Source organism: Homo sapiens, chromosome 8 (assembly GCF_000001405.40).
Source record: "Homo sapiens chromosome 8, GRCh38.p14 Primary Assembly".
Taxonomy (NCBI): Eukaryota; Metazoa; Chordata; class Mammalia; order Primates; family Hominidae; genus Homo; species Homo sapiens.
In genome coordinates, this window is record NC_000008.11 from 67,319,869 (window position 1) to 67,341,887 (window position 22,019).

At 38.7% G+C, this 22,019-nt stretch overlaps 1 protein-coding gene across 17 annotated transcripts in view; it reads right to left on the minus strand.

The window, feature by feature from the left end:
- The window catches only part of ARFGEF1 (ARF guanine nucleotide exchange factor 1), a 170,271-nt gene that overhangs the window by 146,358 nt on the left and 1,894 nt on the right, over positions 1-22,019 (minus strand). For 2 of the 17 annotated variants that reach the window (XM_047421266.1, NM_001413193.1), the window contains exon 2: positions 609-644. The exons of the other annotated variants lie outside the window; for them this stretch is intronic. The gene's annotated coding sequence lies outside the window, so the exon portion shown is untranslated. The remainder of the gene's footprint in view (positions 1-608; positions 645-22,019) is intronic. 17 annotated transcript variants of the gene reach the window in all.

Below are 22,019 nucleotides of genomic sequence, written 5' to 3' on the forward strand. Positions count from 1 at the left end.
TGGGCAAAAGACTTAGACATTCACCAAAGAGGATATGCACATGGCAAATAAACATAAAAAAAGATGCTCAGACCGGGCACAGTGGCTCACACCTGTAATCCTAGCACTTTGGGAGGCCGAGGCGGGTGGATCACCTGAGGTCAGGATTTCGAGACCAGCCTGGCCAACAGAGCGAAACCCTGTCTCTACTAAAAATACAAAAATTAGCTGGGCCTGGTGTGGCCGGTGCCTATAATCCCAGCTACTTGGGAGGCTGAGGCAAGAGAATCGCTTGAACCTGGGGTGGCGGAGGTTGCAGTGAGCCGAGATCGCACCACTGCACTCCAGACTGGGTGAAAGAGCAAAACGCTATCTCAAAAAAAAAAAAAAAAAAAAAAAAAAAGTGCTCAACATAATTAGCCATTAAGAAAATGCAAATGAAAAACCATAATGATTTAATGCTACACACCTATTAACATGGTTAAATTTTAAAAATACTGACACTCCCAAGAGTCGGTAAGGATATGGAGCAACAAGAACGCAAATACACCGTTGGTAGAAATGCACAATAGCACAGCCACTTTAGAAAACAGTTTGTAAGTTTCTCATGAAGTTAAACATATACTTACCATATGACCCAGCAGTCCCACTCCTGGGTATCTACCCTAGACAAACATGAAAACTTAAGTTTATGTAAAAATCTGTACATGAATATTTATAGCAGCTCTAACCATACTGCCAAAACTGGAAACAACTCAAATGCCCTTCAATGAGTGTTAAACAAACTATACGACATCCATACACTCAGCAGTAAAAAAGAAACAGACAGTCAGGCGTGGTGGCTCACGCCTATAATCCCAGCACTTTGGGAGGCTGAGGCAGGTGGATTACCTGAGGTCAGGAGCTCGAGGCCAGGTCAGCCTGGCCAACATGGTGAAACCCCGTCTCTACTAAAAATACAAAAATTAGCCAGGCGTGGTGGCAGGCGCCTGTAATCCAGCTACTCGGGAGGCTGAGGCAGGAGAATTGCTTGAACCCAGGAAGAGGTTGCAATAAGCAGATCGCACCACCGCACTTCAGCCTGGGCAATAGAGTGAGATTCCATCTCAAAAAAAAAATCAAACAAAAAAAGAAACAAGACTACTAATACATACAACAACTTGGATAAACCCTAAATGCATGCTGAGTGAAAGAAGCCAGTCTCAAAAGCCTCCATTCTGTATCATTCCACATTTATGACATTCTTAAAACGACAGAGAACAGATCAGTGGTTGCCAGGGGTTAGGTATGTGAGAAATGGTGTGACTATAAGTATGGGGGGGGGTTTGGGGGTGCTAAAACTATTCTGTATCCCAACTGTGATAGAAGTTACACAAATCTTCATGTGTGTTAAAATTCATGGAATTGTACAGTAAAAAAGAAAGTCAAATTTACTGTATGTTAACGTAAAAAACAAAAATACAAAGCAAAATAGGTTGCCTACATCCATACTCCAACTTAGTGAAGCAGGATCTCCAGTAATGTGACGTAGTTGGTTGTATTTTTAAGAAGCTCCACGGGTGATCTTGGTGTATTTGTATAGCCAAGGATGAGAACTTCTGTTTTTTTTGTTTGTTTTGTTTTTTGTTTTTGAGATGGAGTCTCGCTCTGTCGCCCAGGCTGGAGTGCAGTGGTGCAATCTCGGCTCACTGAAAGCTCCACCTCCCGGGTTCACGCTATTCTCCTGCCTCAGCCTCCCGAGTAGCTGGGAGTACAGGCACCCGCCACCACGCCCGGCTATTTTTTTTTATTTTTAATAGAGACGGGGTTTCACCGTGTTAGCCAAGATGGTCTCGATCTCCTGACTTCGTGATCCGCCCGCCTCAGCCTCCCAAAGTGCTGGGATTACAGGCATGAGCCACCACACCCGGCCGAGAACTTCTGTTTTAATGCCTTAATTTTAATTTCTCCATCCTTTCTGCCACTTTAACTTTAGGTCAGGGCTTCATCTCTCATCAGGCCTACTGGCTCTAATCCATCTTCTACATAGTGCCAGAGTGATCATGACAAAGATAAAGCTCAAGCTCTTCAGCATGGCACACAAAAGCCTCCATGATTTGGCTCCTGCCTACCACTCTCATCTCTCTGCATGCCCTTCCTTGCATTCCACACTCCAATTGTAAAGGAACATTGTAAATCCCCTGTAAAGATCTGCCATTTCATACCTCTAGGCTTTTGCTCAAATGGTGTCCTCTGCCTGAATTCCATCCCACCACCACTATGTCCAACAGGTACCTTTCAAGGTTGCCTCAGTCATATGTTCTCTGTCACTCCCAACTAAAACCCCTTTCAGTGGTTTTCCAACCATCCTTACCTATAACACTTTCCATGAGCCTCATCTCCTACCATTCCTGCTGTACACTTAAGTCTCTTAAAATGCCAACCTTCTAGGTAACTCTCTCACACTTTGGGTTTATTCGGCTATTCATGCCTTAGCTAATGATGCTCCTTCTTCCCCAGAATACTTTTTCCACCCATCTTTTCCTGGCTAAAATCCATTCATCCTTCTAGAATAAATAGCTGTTATCAGCCAGGCATGTTGGCTCATGCCTATAATCCCAACACTTTGGGAGGCCCAGTGGGGATGGTTGTTTGAGGCCAGGAGTTCAAGACCAGCCTGGGCAATATAGAGAGACCCCATCACTACAAAAAGTTAAAGAAAAAATTAGCCAGGCATGATGGCATGTGACTATAGTCCTAGCTACTAGGGAGGCAGGCTAAGGTAGCAGAATCACTTCAGCCCAGGAGTTCGAGGATGCTGTAAGTTATGACTGCACTGCTGCTCTCTAGCCTGGGCAACAAAGTGAGACCGTCTCTTAAAAACAAAAACAAAAGCCTGTCTTTACCGAAAAGTCTTCTCCTGCACTTCTAGGCTAAGATAATTACACTTCTCTATTCCCATAGCTTCCTCCAGTTATTACTATCACTACTTACCTTAGCATATTGAAATTATTTTATGTATTTATCTCCTTCAATCTGCTCCTTAACAGCAAAGACCACATTTTATACCACATCTTTACATTCATCAGGCTTAGAATAAAATCGGGAACAAATATATACTTAAATGTTTTCCAAAGAAAGCAATAAATGCCAGGCACGGTGGCTCACGCCTGTAATCCCAGATTACTTTGAGAGGGGGTGGATAACCTGAGGTCAAGAGTTTGAGACCAGCCTGGCCAACATGGTGAAACCCCGTCTCTACTAAAAATACAAAAATTAGCCAGGCATGGTGGCAGAAGCCTGTAATCCCAGCTACTCGGGAGGCTGAGGCAGGAGAATTGCTTGAATCCAGGAGGTGGAGGTTGCAGTGAGCAGACATCGCGCCACTGCACTCCAGCCTGAGTGACACAGCAAGACTCCATCTCAACAACAACAACAACAAAAAAGCAATAAATGAGAGAGTAAATTTACCAGGTAACTTAATATACATCTCTTTTTCTCCAAAAGACCTAACTGGGTAACATATGTTGGTAACACCTAAACCTTAAACTTAACCTGATAACTTAAAAGTTGATCTACAACTCAGATCTCTCCCCTAGGCTTGTGTCATGTTATAAACTACTATCAACCAAACATCTTTACTCTGGTGTCCCATATGCACTCAAACTCAATATAACCATAAGTCCATTTTTCCTCAACCCATTTATGTCGAATGTGCTTATTTTCTCATACTGCCATTTTTGGTGAACAGATCCAACTTCTCAAAATCATGTCATTAGAAACCTCAGAATCATCCTAAATGCCTTCCTTTCTCTCATTCCTCACACCCAAACATTTATGAAGTCCTGTTAATTTACTGAGATCTAAGCTTTCCATATTCAGTGCCTCAGGTTCAAACCCTTACTTCTTCAAACCTGTGCTAAGGCAACAGTTTATTAACAGTCTCACTGCCTGCAGTTCTGAATCCCAGAAATCTACTTTTTTTTTTTTTTGAGACAGAGTCTTGCTCTGTTGCCCAGGCTGAAGTGCAGTGGTGCCATCACCGCTTACTGCAAGCTCCGCCCCTTGAGTTCATGCCATTCTCCTGCCTCAGCCTCCCAAGTAGCTGGGACTACAGGCACCTGCCACTACGCCTGGCTGATTTTTTTGTATTTTTACTAGAGACGGGGTTTCACCATGTTAGCCAGGATGGTCTCAATCTCCTGACCTTGTGAACCGCCCGCCTCGGCCTCCCAAAGTGCTGGGATTACAGGCGTGAGCCACCGCAGCCAGCCACAACCTACTTTTCAATATGCCAATCAGAGTAGAATGATTTCTCTGAAATGCAACAACAATTTCACTCCTTTGCTTGGCATTCTACTGTCTACAATAGAAGGTGGGGCGCTTGAACATGGGAGGCAGAGTTTGCAGTGAGGCGGGATCGCGCCACTGCACTCTAGCTTGGCAACTGAGTGAGACTCTGTCTCAAAGAAAACAAAACAAAACAAAAAAAGGTCTTCAATGATCTCATCCTTGCTTTCTTTGCCAAACTGTATTCCCACAGTCATACTGAACTCCCTGCAGTTCCCTAAGTGCAGACATGCTTCCTTATACCTCTCTATGCTCATACAATTAGTTCTGCCACAGCATGTTCCTATAATTCTATGGCAAACTCATCTAGTGATCTTCCAAGCCTGAAGTCCAGAGTGATTCCTCTATAAAGCTGTTCCTGACCCATGACCCTACCCTAGTACTCCTGAAAAGAACTTATCAATTATTCTTCCTTTGGGTTTCCATCAATTTCATATATGTCTACCATAGCGCCTATTTATCAATTCTAACATCTATTTACTGCAAATCTGCCTTCCCCCAAGAGATTACAAGCTGTTGAAGGTAGGAACCACATATGTGTTCCCTAGTTTCCCTAGTGCCTAATACAATTTTAAGACACACTTAAGATGTTCAATAAATGTTTGTTAAATAAAATAGTGAAGACTAAAAAGTATTTACATTAGCTTTTAATCCCATGGTAAAACTGGAGTTCACAGTAACACAATTTAAAATACAAAACATTAGGTTAACCCAAAGAGCCAGAGAGAAAAAAATCCACTTTTTTTTTTTTTTTGAGACAGAGTTTCACTCTTATTGCCCAGGCTGGAATGCAACGGCGCTATCTTGGCTCACTGCAACCTCCGCCTCCTGCATTCAAGCAATTCTCCTGCCTCAGCCTCCCGAACAGCTGGGATTATAGGTATGCACCACCATGCCCGGCTAATTTTGTATTTTTAGTAGATACGGGGTTTCTCCATGATGGTCAGGCTGGTCTTGAACTCCTGACCTCAGGTGATCCACCCACCTCAGCCTCCCAAAGTACTGGGATTTCAGGCGTGAGCCACCACACCAGGCCGAAAAATCCACTTTTTTTTTTTTTTTAACAGAAAATGGCTAATGGGCATACCCCATATACTTAAACTATCATCAACAAATTATAATGAGTGCTTACACCTTTTAAATAATACACATTATTCCTAAGGGCAAAGCAAAGGTTGTTTTTAATGCTTTCTCATCTCATCACTTCAAAGGTTGTTTTTAATACTTTCTCATCTCACCAGTCTGCACCTTCCTATCTATTGTCTCCTTACAACCTCATGCTATGCTTACATTACATAAAGGAGCCTCTATCAGGCCTGTCCCAGTCCTACCATGTCCCATAATGCCCCATGTTCCAAAATTAATCCATTCTCTCCCATCATTTCAGTCAAGTTTCCCATTCTCTCAGTGGGACAAAACTCAGCTAGATGTTGAAGGCAAGAAAGCTCTCTCCAAAAATCTAAGGACAGTACCAACATATGAATAACTAATACGTCTAATATTCCCAAAGGTTATCTGCAAATAAATACTAGTAACAAACATAAATAAATATTGAATTATTATGAAGGAAGACTTTTGAGAAATTTCCCAATGGGCAAAGAAGGGAAGGAAGACAGAAGTGCATCTACTCAGGACTAAAAAAGTTTTAATCAAGTTATAATGGAATAAGCACAAATTTTAGCTAATTTCAGGAAAGCACTTATGAATATGAAATATGAGAAAAAGGCTGGGCGCAGTGGCTCATGCCTGTAATCCCACCACTTTGGAATCCCAAAGGGATTACAGGCCGAGGCGGGCAGATCACTTGAGGTCAGGAGTTCAAGACCAGCTTGGCCAACATGGTAAAACCCCTTCTCTACTAAAAATATAAAAATTAGCCAGGCATGGTGGCATGCACATGTAGTCCCAGCTACTTAGGAGGCTGAGGTAGGAGAATCACTTGAACCTGGAGATGGAGGGTGCAGTGAGCTGAGATTGTGCCACTGCACTCTAGCCTGGTTGACAGAGTGAAACTCCATCTCAAAAAATAAAAAAAGAAATAAAAGAAAAAGAACATCTATGACTCACAGTACTGTTTTGTGACTCAAATATGAAATACAGGAAAATAACTGATAAATGGCAGTTTCCATATAATTGAAAAGAACTTGGTATCCATCTCTAGAAAGGATGTAAACCGAAGTATCTGCAAGAGTAAATCTATACTGGTTAACACCGGGCTTTCTACAAACATTAAAACAACCTATACTCTTGAATTAGCTTTCCATACCTTTTCTGGATGTGTTGAGAAGGCCTAAATGGATACATACATGAAAATGAGATCTGAAACCTTACACACCTTTCTTAACTTAGGTTTCTTTTTTGTGATGAAGCTAAGGCTTGTGTTTTAGAAAATAACAGCAACCAATTAGGTTCTCTCAAAAATACTTTTTATTTCTTATATAATACTTAAGATTACCAAAGACATAAATTACAGTAAGTCCTCACTTAACATTGTTGTTCTTGGAAACTGTGATTTTAAGCAAAATTATGTATAACAAAATCAATTTTTTCTAATCAACCTTATAATGACATGATGTTTAACTAACCAATGTTATTCAAGGACCTGCTGTATGTCATTTCACTTAAAGTCACAGTTTCCAAGAACCTATATCAATGACATTAAGTCAGGATTTACTGTATAAATATTTCCTAGTCAAAATCCTATGTCAGGCCAGTTATTCTTTCATTTTGAGAAATCAAAGTGAGAAAGGTCTTGACTTGAAGAACAAAACAATTTCCTTCCTATTATTAGAAGCTAATTGGGTAATAAAGCCCAAAGTACAATCAACATCTAATACCCTAGTTAGGCATACTCCAAGCAATATCAAAAACATTTAAATTATCCCTGTGTTCACTATGAGGTTGACTTGCTTGTAAATAAATATGACTATTATTCAATTATCTATATTTGATGTCAGCAACCTTCTTCCTTGATTTTATTTTTCTACTTCAATAAGCCCACTACTTATACTTGTGTGTATGTTTTCTTTTTCCTCTTACTCTATATTTAAATACCACATGCTTGAGAAAGAAGATAAATAGGTAATATTTTTGCATTTGTAGAAGTTCTTCAGAAGCATACAGACTCCTCGATGACGTACGTCTTTTTTTTTTTTTTTTTTGAGACAGAGTTTCGCTGTTGCCCAGGCTGGAGTGCAATGGTGCGATCTCGGCTCACTGCAACCTTCGCCTCCCAGGTTCAAGCTATCATCCTGCCTCAGCCACCCAAGTAGCTGGGATTACAGGCACCTGCCACCACAGCTTGGCTAATTTTTTGGATTTTTACTATAGATGGGGTTTCACCACGTTGGCCAGGCTGGTCTCAAACTCCTGACTTCAGGTGATCCACCCACTTCAGCCTCCCAAAGTGCTGGGATTACAGGCGTGAGCCAACGCACCTGGCCCAATGACATACTTCTAACCACACCATGAATATTTTATAGTAGTTCTACCACAAGACAGTAAAACGTGTTACTTGGTATGATTATATTTGTCAAAATTTCCTTGTATTTGCAACACTTTTTCCCTGTATACCTACACATATTTGTTCTAAGAAAAGTACTATATAATCTGCTTTTTCCAATCATTCATCTTCCCATTTCAGTAAGTATATTTCAAGCACATCACTACATAGTACTTTGTAACATTCCCTTGTATTAACACAACATCATTTAATCAATCCTATATTGTTGACTACTTGAGTTATTTTCATTTTATTAATTATAAACAGCAAAATGATGAATACACTTGTACATATATCTTTGTAACACATTTCTCATTGTTTTCTAACAATATTCTAGAAGAATTTGAAATAGAGGGGGTGAAAGAAAGGGGTGGAGAGATGAGGGAGATAAAGAAGGGAACAAGGGAAAAAGATGACAGAGAGGTGAGATAAGACATTTTTTTAAAAAAGATATAAAAGAGAATGCCTATGTTTATTAGCAGAGTTGCTGTTTTATCATTTTCAGCAAATTCCTATTAAATGTACCTAGGCTGAAACTGTTATAATTTTTTTTTCCTTAAATAGCCATGGGTGCTACTAATTCTTTACAGTCTTAACAAACTGAACTATTCTTCTGGAAGCTTATTTTCTCTGCCTGGATATTTACAAGATTAATTTTTTATCTTTAATATTAAAAAATATTGCTAGACTGAGATTTGTAAGTCTTTTTACATCGAGTATTTTTCTTCCTAGAATATAGCAGTTTGCACACACAAGTATTTTTTAGTGCAGAAGTTTTCTCCAGCATCTCTCTGATTATTGTTTTGCCAGCAATTTCTAGTTTTTGTTTTATGCTTCAGAAAATGAGTTATCCATATGTTACACAGCTTTATGTTCCCTGTCCTCCATATCTAGCTCTTCTCTCTCATCCTTTTAGCTTTTCATTCCTCCTGGGATCTAGCAATAAACTTCCACCTATCACTGTTCTACCATGTAGTGAATTTTCCCTCATTTCTGCAACATAGTGGTCATTTGTAAGGATACATCAAGAGTTGTAAACTAAATGTGTATTTGTATTTCAGCTTACCCTCTGATTATTTTTAAACTGTTTGAATTGAGTTAAAATGTCTTTATAAATCAAGAATGTTTTCATAAATCAATGCTGACAGAGATTCTGAGGGTTTGAAAAGAAGGAGAAAGAAGGAGAATCCGGTAGGAAATTAACGTAAATGGGTCAAAAAAAGGAATGGAAATACTGTGGTAATTTTTTAAAATAAAAAATTCAGGGCCAGGCCCAGTAGCCTACACCTGTATAATCCCTGGACTTTGGAAGGTTGAGGCGGGCGGATCACGAGATCAGGAGTTCAAGACCAGCCTGGCCAACATGGTGAAACCCCGTCTCTACTAAAAATACAAAAATTAGCCAGGCATGCTGGCATGTGCCTGTAATCCCAGCTACCTGGGAGGCTGAGGCAGGAGAATCACTTGAACTCGAGAGGCGGAGATGGCCGTGAGCCGACATGGCACCACCGCACTCCAGCCTGGGCATCTTTAAAAACAAAACAAAAAACAAAACAAAAAAACAAACAATTCAGGATAAAAATAAGAATTTAGGCCGGGCACAGTGGCTCACGCCTGTAATCCCAGCACTTTGGGAGGCTGAGGCAGGCGACCATCCTGGCTAACACGGTGAAACCCCGTCTCTATTAAAAATACAAAAAATTAGTCAGGCGTGGTGGCAGGTGCCTGTAGTCCCAGCTACTCGGGAGGCTGAGGCAGGAGAATGGCGTGAACCCAGGAGGCGGAGCTTGCAGTGAGCCGAGATTGTGCCACTGCACTCCAGCCTGGGCGACAGAGTAAGACTCCATCTCAAAATAAATAAATAAATAAATAAATAAATAAATAAATAAATAAATAAAAAGAATTTTTTAAAAAATGGAAAGAGCTAGAAAAAAAGCAAATATTCTTAAGAACATTTAATTTCCAAACTCAAAAAAAAAATTTTTGTTTTCTTATACACTTTCTGAAAAGCCAAATTATTAACAGTGACTATCTTAGACAAAATATTTAGGGACATTAATTTACTAAATCAATAAAACCTTTACATTAAGAAGTTTTAGTCAAGCTAACTAGTGAGATATATCTTACACAGAACAGCATTAGGCATGCATGAGCAGCAAAACCAAACAAAGCTTATTTGCTATTAATGAAAGATTATATTATTTTTACAAATGTTAAGGATAGAAAGCTTCAATGAGACTGAATTGGTAGAAACCATTTAGGGGAGTGCTAAAAATAAAAAAAAACAAAGGCTACTCAATTTAATAACACAAAACTGAAAACTACTTAGTAAAAATAAATATAATTTTAACTTAGTGATAAAACAGAAAAAGATTAGCAAATCTTTCTTAAAGATATTTTTCATTCAAACCAAGAAAAAGCAATCAAACAAAAAGAACTATAATAGTGACAATTTTGAGAACCTAACATTTTCTTAGAGAAACCATAATTTTGCATATTAATTACCTACTAAAGGGTGCTTTTTGAAATGTAAAAGAAAATTAAGAATTGAGAAATATTTAACTATTTCATAAGGAAAACAATTCAATAAAGGTAGCCATATATACAAGTTTAAGAGAGTATATGTTGGCATACTCATTGACTTTTTAAGGAAAGAATGTGTACATATTACAAACAAAAGAACCTTTCCTTCTACTTTACCACTCAAGGAATCTTCTATAACAGTCATAAAAATGGGGATTGAGGGTAGAAACAAAAAGAACAAAATACCTTCACTTCATTTATTCAAACACACAGATTCATCATTGCAGTTAGTAAAAAAAACACATTCTAATAATATAACTTTATTTCTGCCTTTGTATCTTCTAGCAAGATAACTATAGACACAGAGCTGTTATTTACTATAAAAAATTTTTTCTCTAATAATTGTAAAAACTCATTTTTGGACACTGGTGTATACTATAAAATCTTAACTACTGACTATTAACTAGTATCAAACAACCTACACCTTATTTTTACTCTTCATCTTTGCAGAAGATGCACATGGTTCCATTCTTATTTCTAAAGATCAAAGCACATCAGAAATTACACATAAGCTTTGCTTGTCACTGCATTAAACATTGTTGCTTTCTGATACTGCATTAAACAAACACATTCTCAATTATCAGGTAAAAAGTAAAACTTAGGGAATGGAAGCATGGGGACCCAACAAATTGGATGAAACAAAATAATCAACTACTTCCCAACTATAACACTTTTTATCTAATGTATAAGAAGAGAAGGCAAGAAAATCTGATTAAGTAACATGTTAATAAGATGTTAAGAATGAGCATTAGAAAACTTAAAAGAAAATCCTTAAGTTATTTGGAAAAAGAAGTAATATTATTAAAAAAAAATTAAGAAACAACGAAGACTAGTCAATCTTACCAGATACCACATTAAGTACTATACTAATACAAATTGAAAATGACTGATGGAATATGATGTGATGTTTTAAAATTACTTAGTAACTGCTATTAAAACACCCATCGATTCAGAGAAACAAAATGAACTTTTAAAATACATACTTATTATATACCCTGCTATGGTCTGTATGTTTGTGTCCTCCCAAAAAAATCACATGTTGAAACCTGATTCCCAGTGTGATGGAATTAAGAGGTGGGGCCTTCAGGAGGTGACTAGGTCATACGGGTGGAGCGCTCATGAATGGAATTAGTGCCCTTATAAAAGAGGTGTATTTCACTCTTCTACCATGTGACAACACAACTAGAAGGTGCTGTCTATAAGGAACCAGCCATCACCAGATATGGAATCTGTCAGCACCTTGATCTTTGAATTCCCAGTGAGAAATAAAGAACTGTGAGAAATAAATTTCTGTTGTCCATAAGCCACCCAGTTTACAGTATTCTGTTATAGTAGCTTAAACAGACTAAGATATACTCTAATAACCCTCAAGAAAAAAAGGATGAAAAATATCAAATTCATAGAAAATGAAAGTACAGATATCCTAACTATAAAGAGGAATTTTTATGTCTTTGTTTTTCACTCTTAGAACAGAAAAAAAAAATGCAAAGGAAAGATGAAGTGATAAAACACTGATCAAAACCAATAAATCTAAAGACAGCAAATTCTCTGTCTTGTCCTCCTCAGTGCTCTGTTGTTTATTTGTACCTAGCACAGGTATACTATGTATGGCAACCTTGCCTTAAGGAACAGTCATGAATGACCACACTCTAATCCAACAATCAAAATCTTAAGAGTTTATTTTAAACAGTTCTGCATATATAACAAACACTAAACAAACTCTGCAAGGGATTAATTTAAAAAAAAAATCTGTGCAGCAAAACTTAAATGTAACATGTCCCCAAACTCAAAAATATTTAAACAAATGACACACTGTTAAAATGCTAGGTAGGAAGACAACATAGATATATAGAAAATGCACATGAAATATTGATGAGAGAACAGAAAATCATGACAATTACACAATAAGTACTTTTATATACTTACATATGAAGTCACTGAGATTTACAACTAGTTATTTTAAGATAAAGTCTTATTGGTAATTTCACATAACATAACATTTTAATAAGATTTTGTTCTTGTATCAATTCTTAAAATGATTTGAAATGTTACAAAATATTAATATAAAAAGCAAATGAGAGTAGTTTTAAACGGTTAGGCATAGAAGCACAATAAAAGCTAACCTATCCTGAATCCCTGGGAGGTGTTACAGGGCACATTAAATTTCCAAATGGCTTAAATTACTGACACTTTACTTTAAAATTAAATCTTAGAAGATACATACACACGAATTTGCCTGACTTCTTAAGCAGAAAAGAGAATTAAAATTATATTGTACACGACAGATTTGGGGATCCCATGATGAACACATGAATATTTACCCTGGAGATTCACTGAAATGTACATGGCAATATTTTCCTGTATTGCTGTTATTTCTATGTCTGTTCAGTATATGGCCCTTTTTCTCTTTTTGACAGTGCCTTTCTTTCTACAGTTGCCCTTCTTTTCCTTTTTGTATTGTTACTTACAAACATGTAGTACTGTGATTAAAGGTGCAGCACAGGACTGACACATTAGGCCAAAAAGCAGAGTGCAACACAACTCCCAAGATGACTATGTAGGCTCTAAGGTCATATTCGAATTCTGCCAAACACAAACTCATTTTCTTCATTTGCAAAATGCAGGTAATAACAGAACCTAAGCATATAGGGTTGTTCTGAGGACTAACTGAGATAAAGTCAATGAAGTATTTAATTGGCACGGAAACTGGCATACAGTAAACACTCAATAAATGTTAGCTATTCTTTTTCCTCCTATTATTGCCTTAAAAATTAAATACTTTTTTTTTTTTTTTGACAAGAGTCTCACTCTGTTGCCAGGCAGGAGTGCAGTGGCGCAATCTCAGCTTACTGCAACCTCCACCTCCCGGGATCAAGCGATTCTCCTGCCTCAGCCGCCCGAGCAGCTGGACTACAGGCACGCACCACCACAGCCAGCTAATTTTTGTATTTTTGGTAGAGACAGGGTTTCACCATGTTGGCCAGGATGGTCTCGATCTCCTGACCTTGTGATCCGCCTACCTCGGCCTCCCAAAGTGCTGAGATTACAAGCATGAGCCACCATGCCTGGCCTTTTTTTTTTTTTTTGAGACAGGGTTTCACTCTGTCACCCAGGCTGGAGTCCAGTGGTGGGATCACAGCTCACTGCAGCCTCAACCTTCTGGGCCACCTCATCCTCCCAAGTAGCTTGTGCACACCACCACACCCAGTAATTTTTTTTTTTTAGTATTTTTTGTAGACACACGGTTTAGCCATGTTACCCAGGTTGGTATTGAACTCCTGGGATCAAGGGATCTCCCTGTCTTGGCCTCTTTAAGTGCTGGGATTTCAGGTGTGAGCCGCCACATCTGGCTGTTCAATTTTTTGAAGAATATGCTTGTGCATGTCCATGCTCCCATGTATGTGTGTGTAGAATGAAGTTTTGGAAAAATACAGGTTGAGCATTCCTAAACTGAAATGTTCCAAAATCTGAAACTTTTTGAGAACTGACATGAAGCCAGAAGTGAAAAATTCCGAATCTCATCTCACGTGATGGGTCACAGTCAAAACACAGTCAAAATTTTGTTTCATGCACAAAATTAACAACAGTGCATAAGACCAGGTGCAGTGGCTCATGCCTGTAATCCCAGCACTTTGGGAGGCCAAGGTCAGCGGATCACCTGAGGTCAGAGTTTGAAACCAGCCTGGCCAACATGGCAAAACCCCATCTCTACTAAAAATACAAAATTAGCTGAGCATGGTGGCGCATGCCTGTAATCCCAGCTACTTGGGAGGCTGAGACAGGAGAATCACTTGAACCTGGGAAGCGGAAGTTACAGTGAGCTGAGATCGCACCACTGCACTCCAGCCTGAGCAACAATAGCTAAACTCCGTCTCAAAAAAAAAAAAAAAAAAAAAGAATAGTGCATAAAATTACCTTTGGATTGTGTATAAGGTGGATGTGAAACATTAGTAAATTTTGTGTTTAGACTTCAATCTCATCCCCAAGATATTTCATTATGTATATGCAAATATTCCAAAGTCCAAAAAAAAAAAAAAAAACAAAATTGAAAACATTTCTGATCCCAAGCATTTCTGATAAAGGATATTTAATCTGTACTTCAAAAAGTTAACAGTGTTTCAATGAAGTAACACTTCATCATAACAACTAGGATGGCTAAAAATAAAAAGGCAGTAACAAATATTGGTGAGAATTTGAAGAAACGGGAAGCCTCATACACTGCTGGTGGGTATGTAGGCTGGAAAAGAATTTAGCAGTTTCTTAAAAAGTTAAACATAAATTTATCAAGTGGCCCACCAATTCCCTTCCCAGTTTGTCTACCTAGGACAAATAACAGTTTACGTCCACACAAAGACTTATACACAAATATTCATGGCAGTATTATTCATTCAACCCAAATATCCATCAACTGGTAAATGGATAAACAAAATATAGGATATCTAAACAATGGAATGCTATTCATCAATAAAAGGAAATGAAGTGTGGATACAAACTTCATGAATGAACCTCAAAAACATACTGAAAGAAACCAGACACTAACGACCACCTGTGTATAACTGCATTTCATGAAATGTCCAGAAAAGGCAACTCTAAAGACAGAAAATAGATTAGTGAATGCCAGAAGCTAGGGATGACAACAAGGGCACTACAGATTTTATTGAGGTAATAGAAATGTTCTAAAACTGGATTTATGCTGATGGCTGCATAATTCAGTAAATTTACCAAAAATCATTACACTCAAAAAAAGTAAATACTATAGTATGTAAATCATTTATCAGAAAGTTGTTTTTCAAAAAGTTAACAGTAGTTATTTATCTTCAGCTAAGAGTATCACGGTAAATTTTTTTTTTTTTTTTTTTTTTGAGACAGAGTCTCACTCTGTCACCCAGGCTGGAGTGCAGTGGCGCAATCTCGGCTCACTGCAAGCTCCGCCTCCCGGGCTCACACCATTCTCCTGCCTCAGCCTCCCAAGTAGCTAGGACTACAGGCGCCCGCCACTACGACTGGCTAATTTTTTGTATTTTTAGTAGAGACGGGGTTTCACTGTGTTAGCCAGGATGGTCTCGATCTCCTCACCTCATGATCTGCCCGCCTCAGCCTCCCAAAGTGCTGGGATCACAGGCGCCAGCCACCACGCCGGGCCCCGTATCACAGTAAATTTTATTGTTGTAGTTACACTTTTGAAAATGATTTGAAGGATTCGTTTATAAAAAATATCAAATTACCAAACTTACTGGAATTATAAAAGCATACAGACTGAGTAAAAGCCATAGAGATTCTCTTCTATATAAAGTGCTTGGCCTTCAAAATATGTACTTTGACTGCTTATATTTTTATTATTTCTTAGCAAAGTTCTGACAGATGAGGATTGTTAAACAGCTGATTAAATGAAGTCTCAATGTACACATTTTTGTTAAGAAAAATTAATAGCCTCACATGGCGTTTCCTAAAGACACGCCAGTGGTAATATGAAATATTTTAAAGATTTTCTTTTTTTTTTTTTGAGACGGACTCTCGCACTGTCTCTCGGGCTGGAGTGCAGTAGCACAATCTTGGCTCACTGCAACCTCCGCCTTCCAGGTTCAAGCGATTCTCCTGCCTCAGCCTCCTAAATAGCTGGGATTACAGGCGCCCACTGCCACCACGCCCGGCTAACTTTTTGTATTTTTAGTAGAGACGGAGTTTCACTATGCTGGCCAGGCTGGTCTCGAACGCCTGACCTCATGATCCACCTGCCTCGGCCTCCCGAAGTGCTGGGATTACAGGCGTGAGCCACCGCGCCCGGCCATTTTAAAGATTTTCAAAGACTTTTCTGAATGAAAAGATAACATAGGTTATATAAACAAATTTAGTTACATCAAGTCTAAGTCTAAGCAAAACAAAATATCAAAAGCAGAACACAAAACTTTTTAAATATTCTTAAATACTTGAGCCCAGACCTTTTAAGAAGCTTTTCAAGAGCCTCTACTTATAACACACTAAAGCCTCAGAATAACTGCTTTCTAGATTCATGAAACAATCAGAGATGAGCCAAAGACAGGATCTGATTGTGTAAACATATGTACAGTAGACTCTGTAAGTGGAAACTTGAATAAAGAAATCAAAATGGGTCTGAAAAGTTAGGATAAAAGGGAACTTGCATTCATTTCCTAAGGCTGCCTTAATAAATTACCATAAATTTGGTGGCTTAAAACAACAGAAATTTCCTCTCATAGTTCTGGTGGCCCAAAATCTAAAATCAAGGTCACAGCAGAGCTATGCTACATCCAAAGGGAAGAATCCCTCCTTGCCTCTTCCTACTTCTGGTGGCTTCTGGCATTCCATAGCATGTGGCAGCAGTAACTGATCTCGTCTCCATTTTCACATGGACTTTTTCCTTTGTATGTGACTGTGTCCCTTCCTCTTCCTTAAAAGGACACCATTCACTGGATTTAGGGCCCACCTAAAGGCTCTAAGTTGAGGATCTCAACTTCACCTTGAGATCTTTCACTACATCCACAAAGTTCCTATTCCAGGAAAAGAACCAGACAAGTGAAAGGCTCATTTCTTTGATAAAAAAACCTCCCTGCAAAAAACCTGACAAGGCAGGCCGGGCGCGGTGGCTCACGCCTGTAATCCCAGCACCTTGGGAGGCCAAGGCAGGAGGATCACAAGGTCAGGAGATCGAGACCATCCTGGCTAACACGGTGAAACCCCATCTCTAATAAAAATACAAAAAAAATCAGCCGGGCGCGGTAGCGCTACACGAGATTAGCTACTCGAGAGGCTGAGGCAGGAGAATGGCGTGAACTCGGGAGGCGGAGCTTGCAGTGAGCCAGGATCGCGCCACTGCACTCCAGCCTGTGTGACAGAGCGTGACGCCGTCTCAAAAAAAAAAAAAAAAAAAAAAACAGACAAAACAAATTGAAATTATTTTGTGTTATTCTCAGTAGAAAATATCCTATTATATCATCTGAAAATTCTATCATTAAAACATTCTAAAATACATATAAAAGGCAGGATGAAAATGTTTTACTGTCTAAAAATCTATTTCCCAAAGGCTTTTTCTATCCTAGTGTCCCCCATTGAGGTGAATGCCATCTTCCTCTACCCTGAAGCTCTGGCTACAAGACTGGATGCCATCCCCTCTGTTAACCAACCCATCAGCAAATCCTGTGGATTCCAAAATATATTCCAAATGCACACAATTATCACCCTTTCCACCACCACCAACTTAGCCTAAGTCCCCATGGTCTCTGGCCACAGTGAGCCTTTAAAAACATAAACATGCTGTCACTAAAATCCCAAATCTGCCCACCCCCTCCCATCTTTCTCTCTGTCTCTCTCCCAGCCACACAAGCCTCCTTGCATCCTGAAACACACCAAGCACACATCCATCTTGCTATTTCCTGTTTCTATTTCATCCAAGTATCTGAAAGACTAAATCCCCCACTTATGTCACTTCTTTGCTCAAATGTCATCTCACAGATAGGACTTTCCTGACAACTCTAACTAAATCAGTACTCCCACCCTTTTCCCTTTAACCTTCTGAACTCTTTCTTCTGATGATATAAGGTTGTTACTATCACCCTCACCCCACTAGAATGTGTGTTCTATGAAAGCATGTTTGGTTCACTGCTGTATACCCAGCAATGAAGTAGTATCTGGAACATATGAGGAGTTCAACAAATATCTGATTGAAATATATACCTAGTTCGGAATGGCAACAATAACTTACTCATGTATTTTTCCTTTTCAAATATCTTCCTTCCTCCATTATGTGAGGAATATTATGACAAATATTTCCCCAAATTATTTCCCATTCACAATTTTCTCTCTAAGTTAAACCTTACCAAGAGACACAAATGAGTTACCTGCCCCTAGATGGGGTGGGAAAGAAAGCTAGTCAGCAAACAGTCCTCTGATCTCGATATTTCTACTGCTCCTTATTTCGGACTTTCTTCTCCTTCCCACACTATTAACACATCTACTACTTTCCCCAAACCTGTGTTTAGAGAAACACAGGTTTGTGCACTGATTTCCCCAAACCTCTTCTAGAAGATGGTCTCACCAGTAGTTAGGGTTATTGTACTTGTCTTTCTTTCCCCAGTGTCCCAAAGTAAGTTCCAAGGAACAACATATCCTAGGGGAGTTAACTGAGTTAGCAAACAATGAAAAAGGATCACATAAATTCAGGAAGAACTTCATTAAACAAAATTGAGCAGGTGTCTTTCTTGGAGGACTTTTCAGAATCTTAACTATGTTCATGTGCATTATAAATTTCCCAAATGGAAACAGATTACACACTATAATCCAAACTTATTTTTTCAACCCAAACTTATTTTCTTCAAAGAGCTTCTCTAAGAACTTGTACTCTGCAACATTTATTTCAGTCAACACTATTCTAGAGCAAGTGTCCTAAAAACAAATCTGAAATGTGAAAGAAAAGAACAAATACAAATAGGATCAATCTTTCGGTTATGTCATTAATTATACTCTTTTCTTCTACCCATCTCAAAAATTCAGGTAGCCTGGCTTACTGAAAACACCTTTTACTTTAGATATCAAAGAAGGCTTAAACGGAGATTTGTTAATGGATTTAAATTATAATTAAGGTGTTCACTGATGGCAGGATATTGTTTGGGGATAAATCATTTTTTCATAAATGGTGAAGAGTGATGAAAATTAATAGTTACCAAAAGTAGCATAAAACCAGGGCCCAAAGCATTCAAGTAATTTCCCCTCCACTGACGTATCTTTTTTATAACTCCACCAACAAAAATAAGGGTGGGATTAAAGGGGCAGAAGGAAGCAAGTTCTGAAAAGTTTGAGTCTCAATATTGTATCTCTGGATGAAACTATAATTACAGGTAATAGACTCTTATATAAGAAAACTAAGTCAGCAGGATCACTTTATAATATGATGAACAATATAAATTCATACCCTGTCTGATGCAAAAATTACTTCCCTAACAATTTTGTCTCCATTATTTTCCCATATACCTCCTGGGAACCCACCCTTATCACTGCCAGTATATGCCTCCCTTCCCTTTAAAACCTTCTTCTGGTCAGCTCTTCAACTTTTTCACTCTTATTGTGTATCAGTGACAGTTTCCAACCTTGAACTCTTTCATCCTAACATTTGCAGAGTATCTTCATAGATACTCTTCATTCGATGTCAGAAAGCATAAGCTGAACTAGTCACAACCCTAACATAAAAGAAACTCCTGAAACTTAGAGGCCTTACTGGAATAAGTCCCAACTGCACCCTCCCTAGCAGATAAACAATGCTACCTTCAAGCCCAATCCCACAACAATCCTAAATTCTTTGAAACTAAAAATAGCTCAGCTGTTGTCTCATCTGCCAGCAGATGGCCAGACTATTTTTAAGTCAGGATTCTCGAGAGCAGGAATGGATCAGGCTAAGCTAGGGCAGCCTAGACTCCCTCTCTCTGCAGAGAGCTGTAGTAGGGCAGGTACCAAAAGAGGGCAACCTGGAGCTGTTCCTGGGCCTGTGGGCTTCTTATCAGTTGTAACAGTGTAACAGTGTGGGGCGGGGGGGGGGATTCTTTCTTTTTTAACCATTCTTTACTTCAAAATGAAGTCTGACATAAGAAAATTTGAAAAACGTTTTACATTAACTCTGCATCCCTTTAAAGGTTTATTTTTCTTTCTGTGAAAATAAAAGTTCCTTGAGAAGTCTTTGAGAATGGATTGTTTTAATGAAGTAAAATTTCCCCTAATCTACATGCTGTTTCATAAGTTATACTTTTTGACAAAAAAAAAAGTTTTAAGAATACACAATAAGCTGTAATTTCATGAGTATAGTTTACAGAAAATCCATCTATAATTGGCCATATGTTAAAAGGTAGCTGAATTAATTTTGAATGGCAATACTCAGAAATCTACTCACATGCCAATACAATGATTTTCAAACAAAAAAGGATTAAATGTCTGACATACTATGTATTTTCCTGTTAACTGTCCATCTCCCTTCAGCTGTATGCTCAATAAATATTTGGGGAAAGAATGAAGACAGACAGGTGGGTATTTAGAAGGGTTATAACACCACCCACAAAATGATCTCTGTATCTTCACCATCCAACACCTACCCACTCACAATCTATAGAACCGAGAGGACTAAATCAGGCCTTTTCAGTTTGCTTTCCCATCCTGCTTAATGGCCACATAGATTACCAACAGACCAGAGCGGGCCTGGCCCAGGTCTCAATAGTGAAGTGGAGAAGATAAGTCTCTAACGGTCTTCAAGGACAATACATTTGTGGGAATACCATCTTCCTGCAAAATATACTTTCTGCAAAGACAAAATGAGTTATGCTTATCAATTTATGTTTGGGTGGTGATGTAGATAGACTGCAAGGGAAGAAACAAAGTTCACCAGGGATTAGCTACCATGAGATTACTGAGATTTTGCTTTGTTGGAGGCTAAATGTAACTTTACGAAATGTGGGAAAAAATGCCTCATACATCTCAAGTAAATAAAGTACTGTGGTGCCTAGCCCTTCCCTGGATAGTCACATTCCTCGTAACAAGCTTCTATTGAGTATACAGAAGGGACAAAAAAGTAAAAACTGTCAAAATCTGGAATAGACAACCCTGGTACAGTTGGCACACATATCAAGTAATCCCGACCTCCAGAAATGGCAAGGACCATTTAGAGCGCTATAGGCCCTCTAAAGATGATGCTCATGAGTGGTAGGGAATACCCAATGCACGAGTTAACAGGACAGTGCAATCACATTTATGGCACATTAGAGGAGATGTGACCATACAATCATTAAGTTCAATACCCTAATTTTACAGAGAACTTAAGGCCCAGGGACTTGCCTAATACTACAACGTAACAGAACTGGGATTTAAACCTAGGATCTCAGACTCTCATTCCAGTAGGCTCTCCATTAAAATATGCTTACTTATGTTACTACTTTGGAGAAGGAAAATATATACATACACACAACACACTCCATTTCTTCAGTTTGATACTTACAATTTAATGTATTAAAAATATGTTGTAACATGAAAAATCTGAATTATAAAAAATTAAGGCCAGGAGAGGTAGCTCATGCCTATAAACTCAGCACTTTGGGAGGCCAAGGTGGGAGGCTCTCTTCAGCCCAGATTTGGAGACCAGCCTGGGCGATATAGAGAGACCGCCATCTCCACCAAAAAAAAAAAAAAAAAAAAAAAATTAGCCAGGTGTGGTGGTGTGCCTGAAGTCCCAATTACTTGGGAGGCTGAGGCAGGAGGAATGCCTGATCCTGGGAGTTTGAGGCGGCACTGAGCACTGATTGTGTCACTGCGCTTCAGTCTGGGTGACAGAGCAAGCCCCTGTCTCAAAAAACAAACAAAAATTTAAAACTTTAATTTGAATCTCTCTAAAGTTCTTCAACCTTCAAGTAATTTACAAACCTACATATAACAATTCTTTTAAAAATCCTGAAATCACTTTCTCCCCAGTCTCACTCCAATTTAATATTATTCCTTTCAGGATCTAGATATAAATACAGTTTTTGCCACTAGACAACTGTCTTCTCATACACCGGGAACAGTCTTTTGTTAGCTACAAAAATAACAAAATGCAAACTTCTGGTCGATAAGTAAGGTGAAAAAATAATCTTAAGCCCCT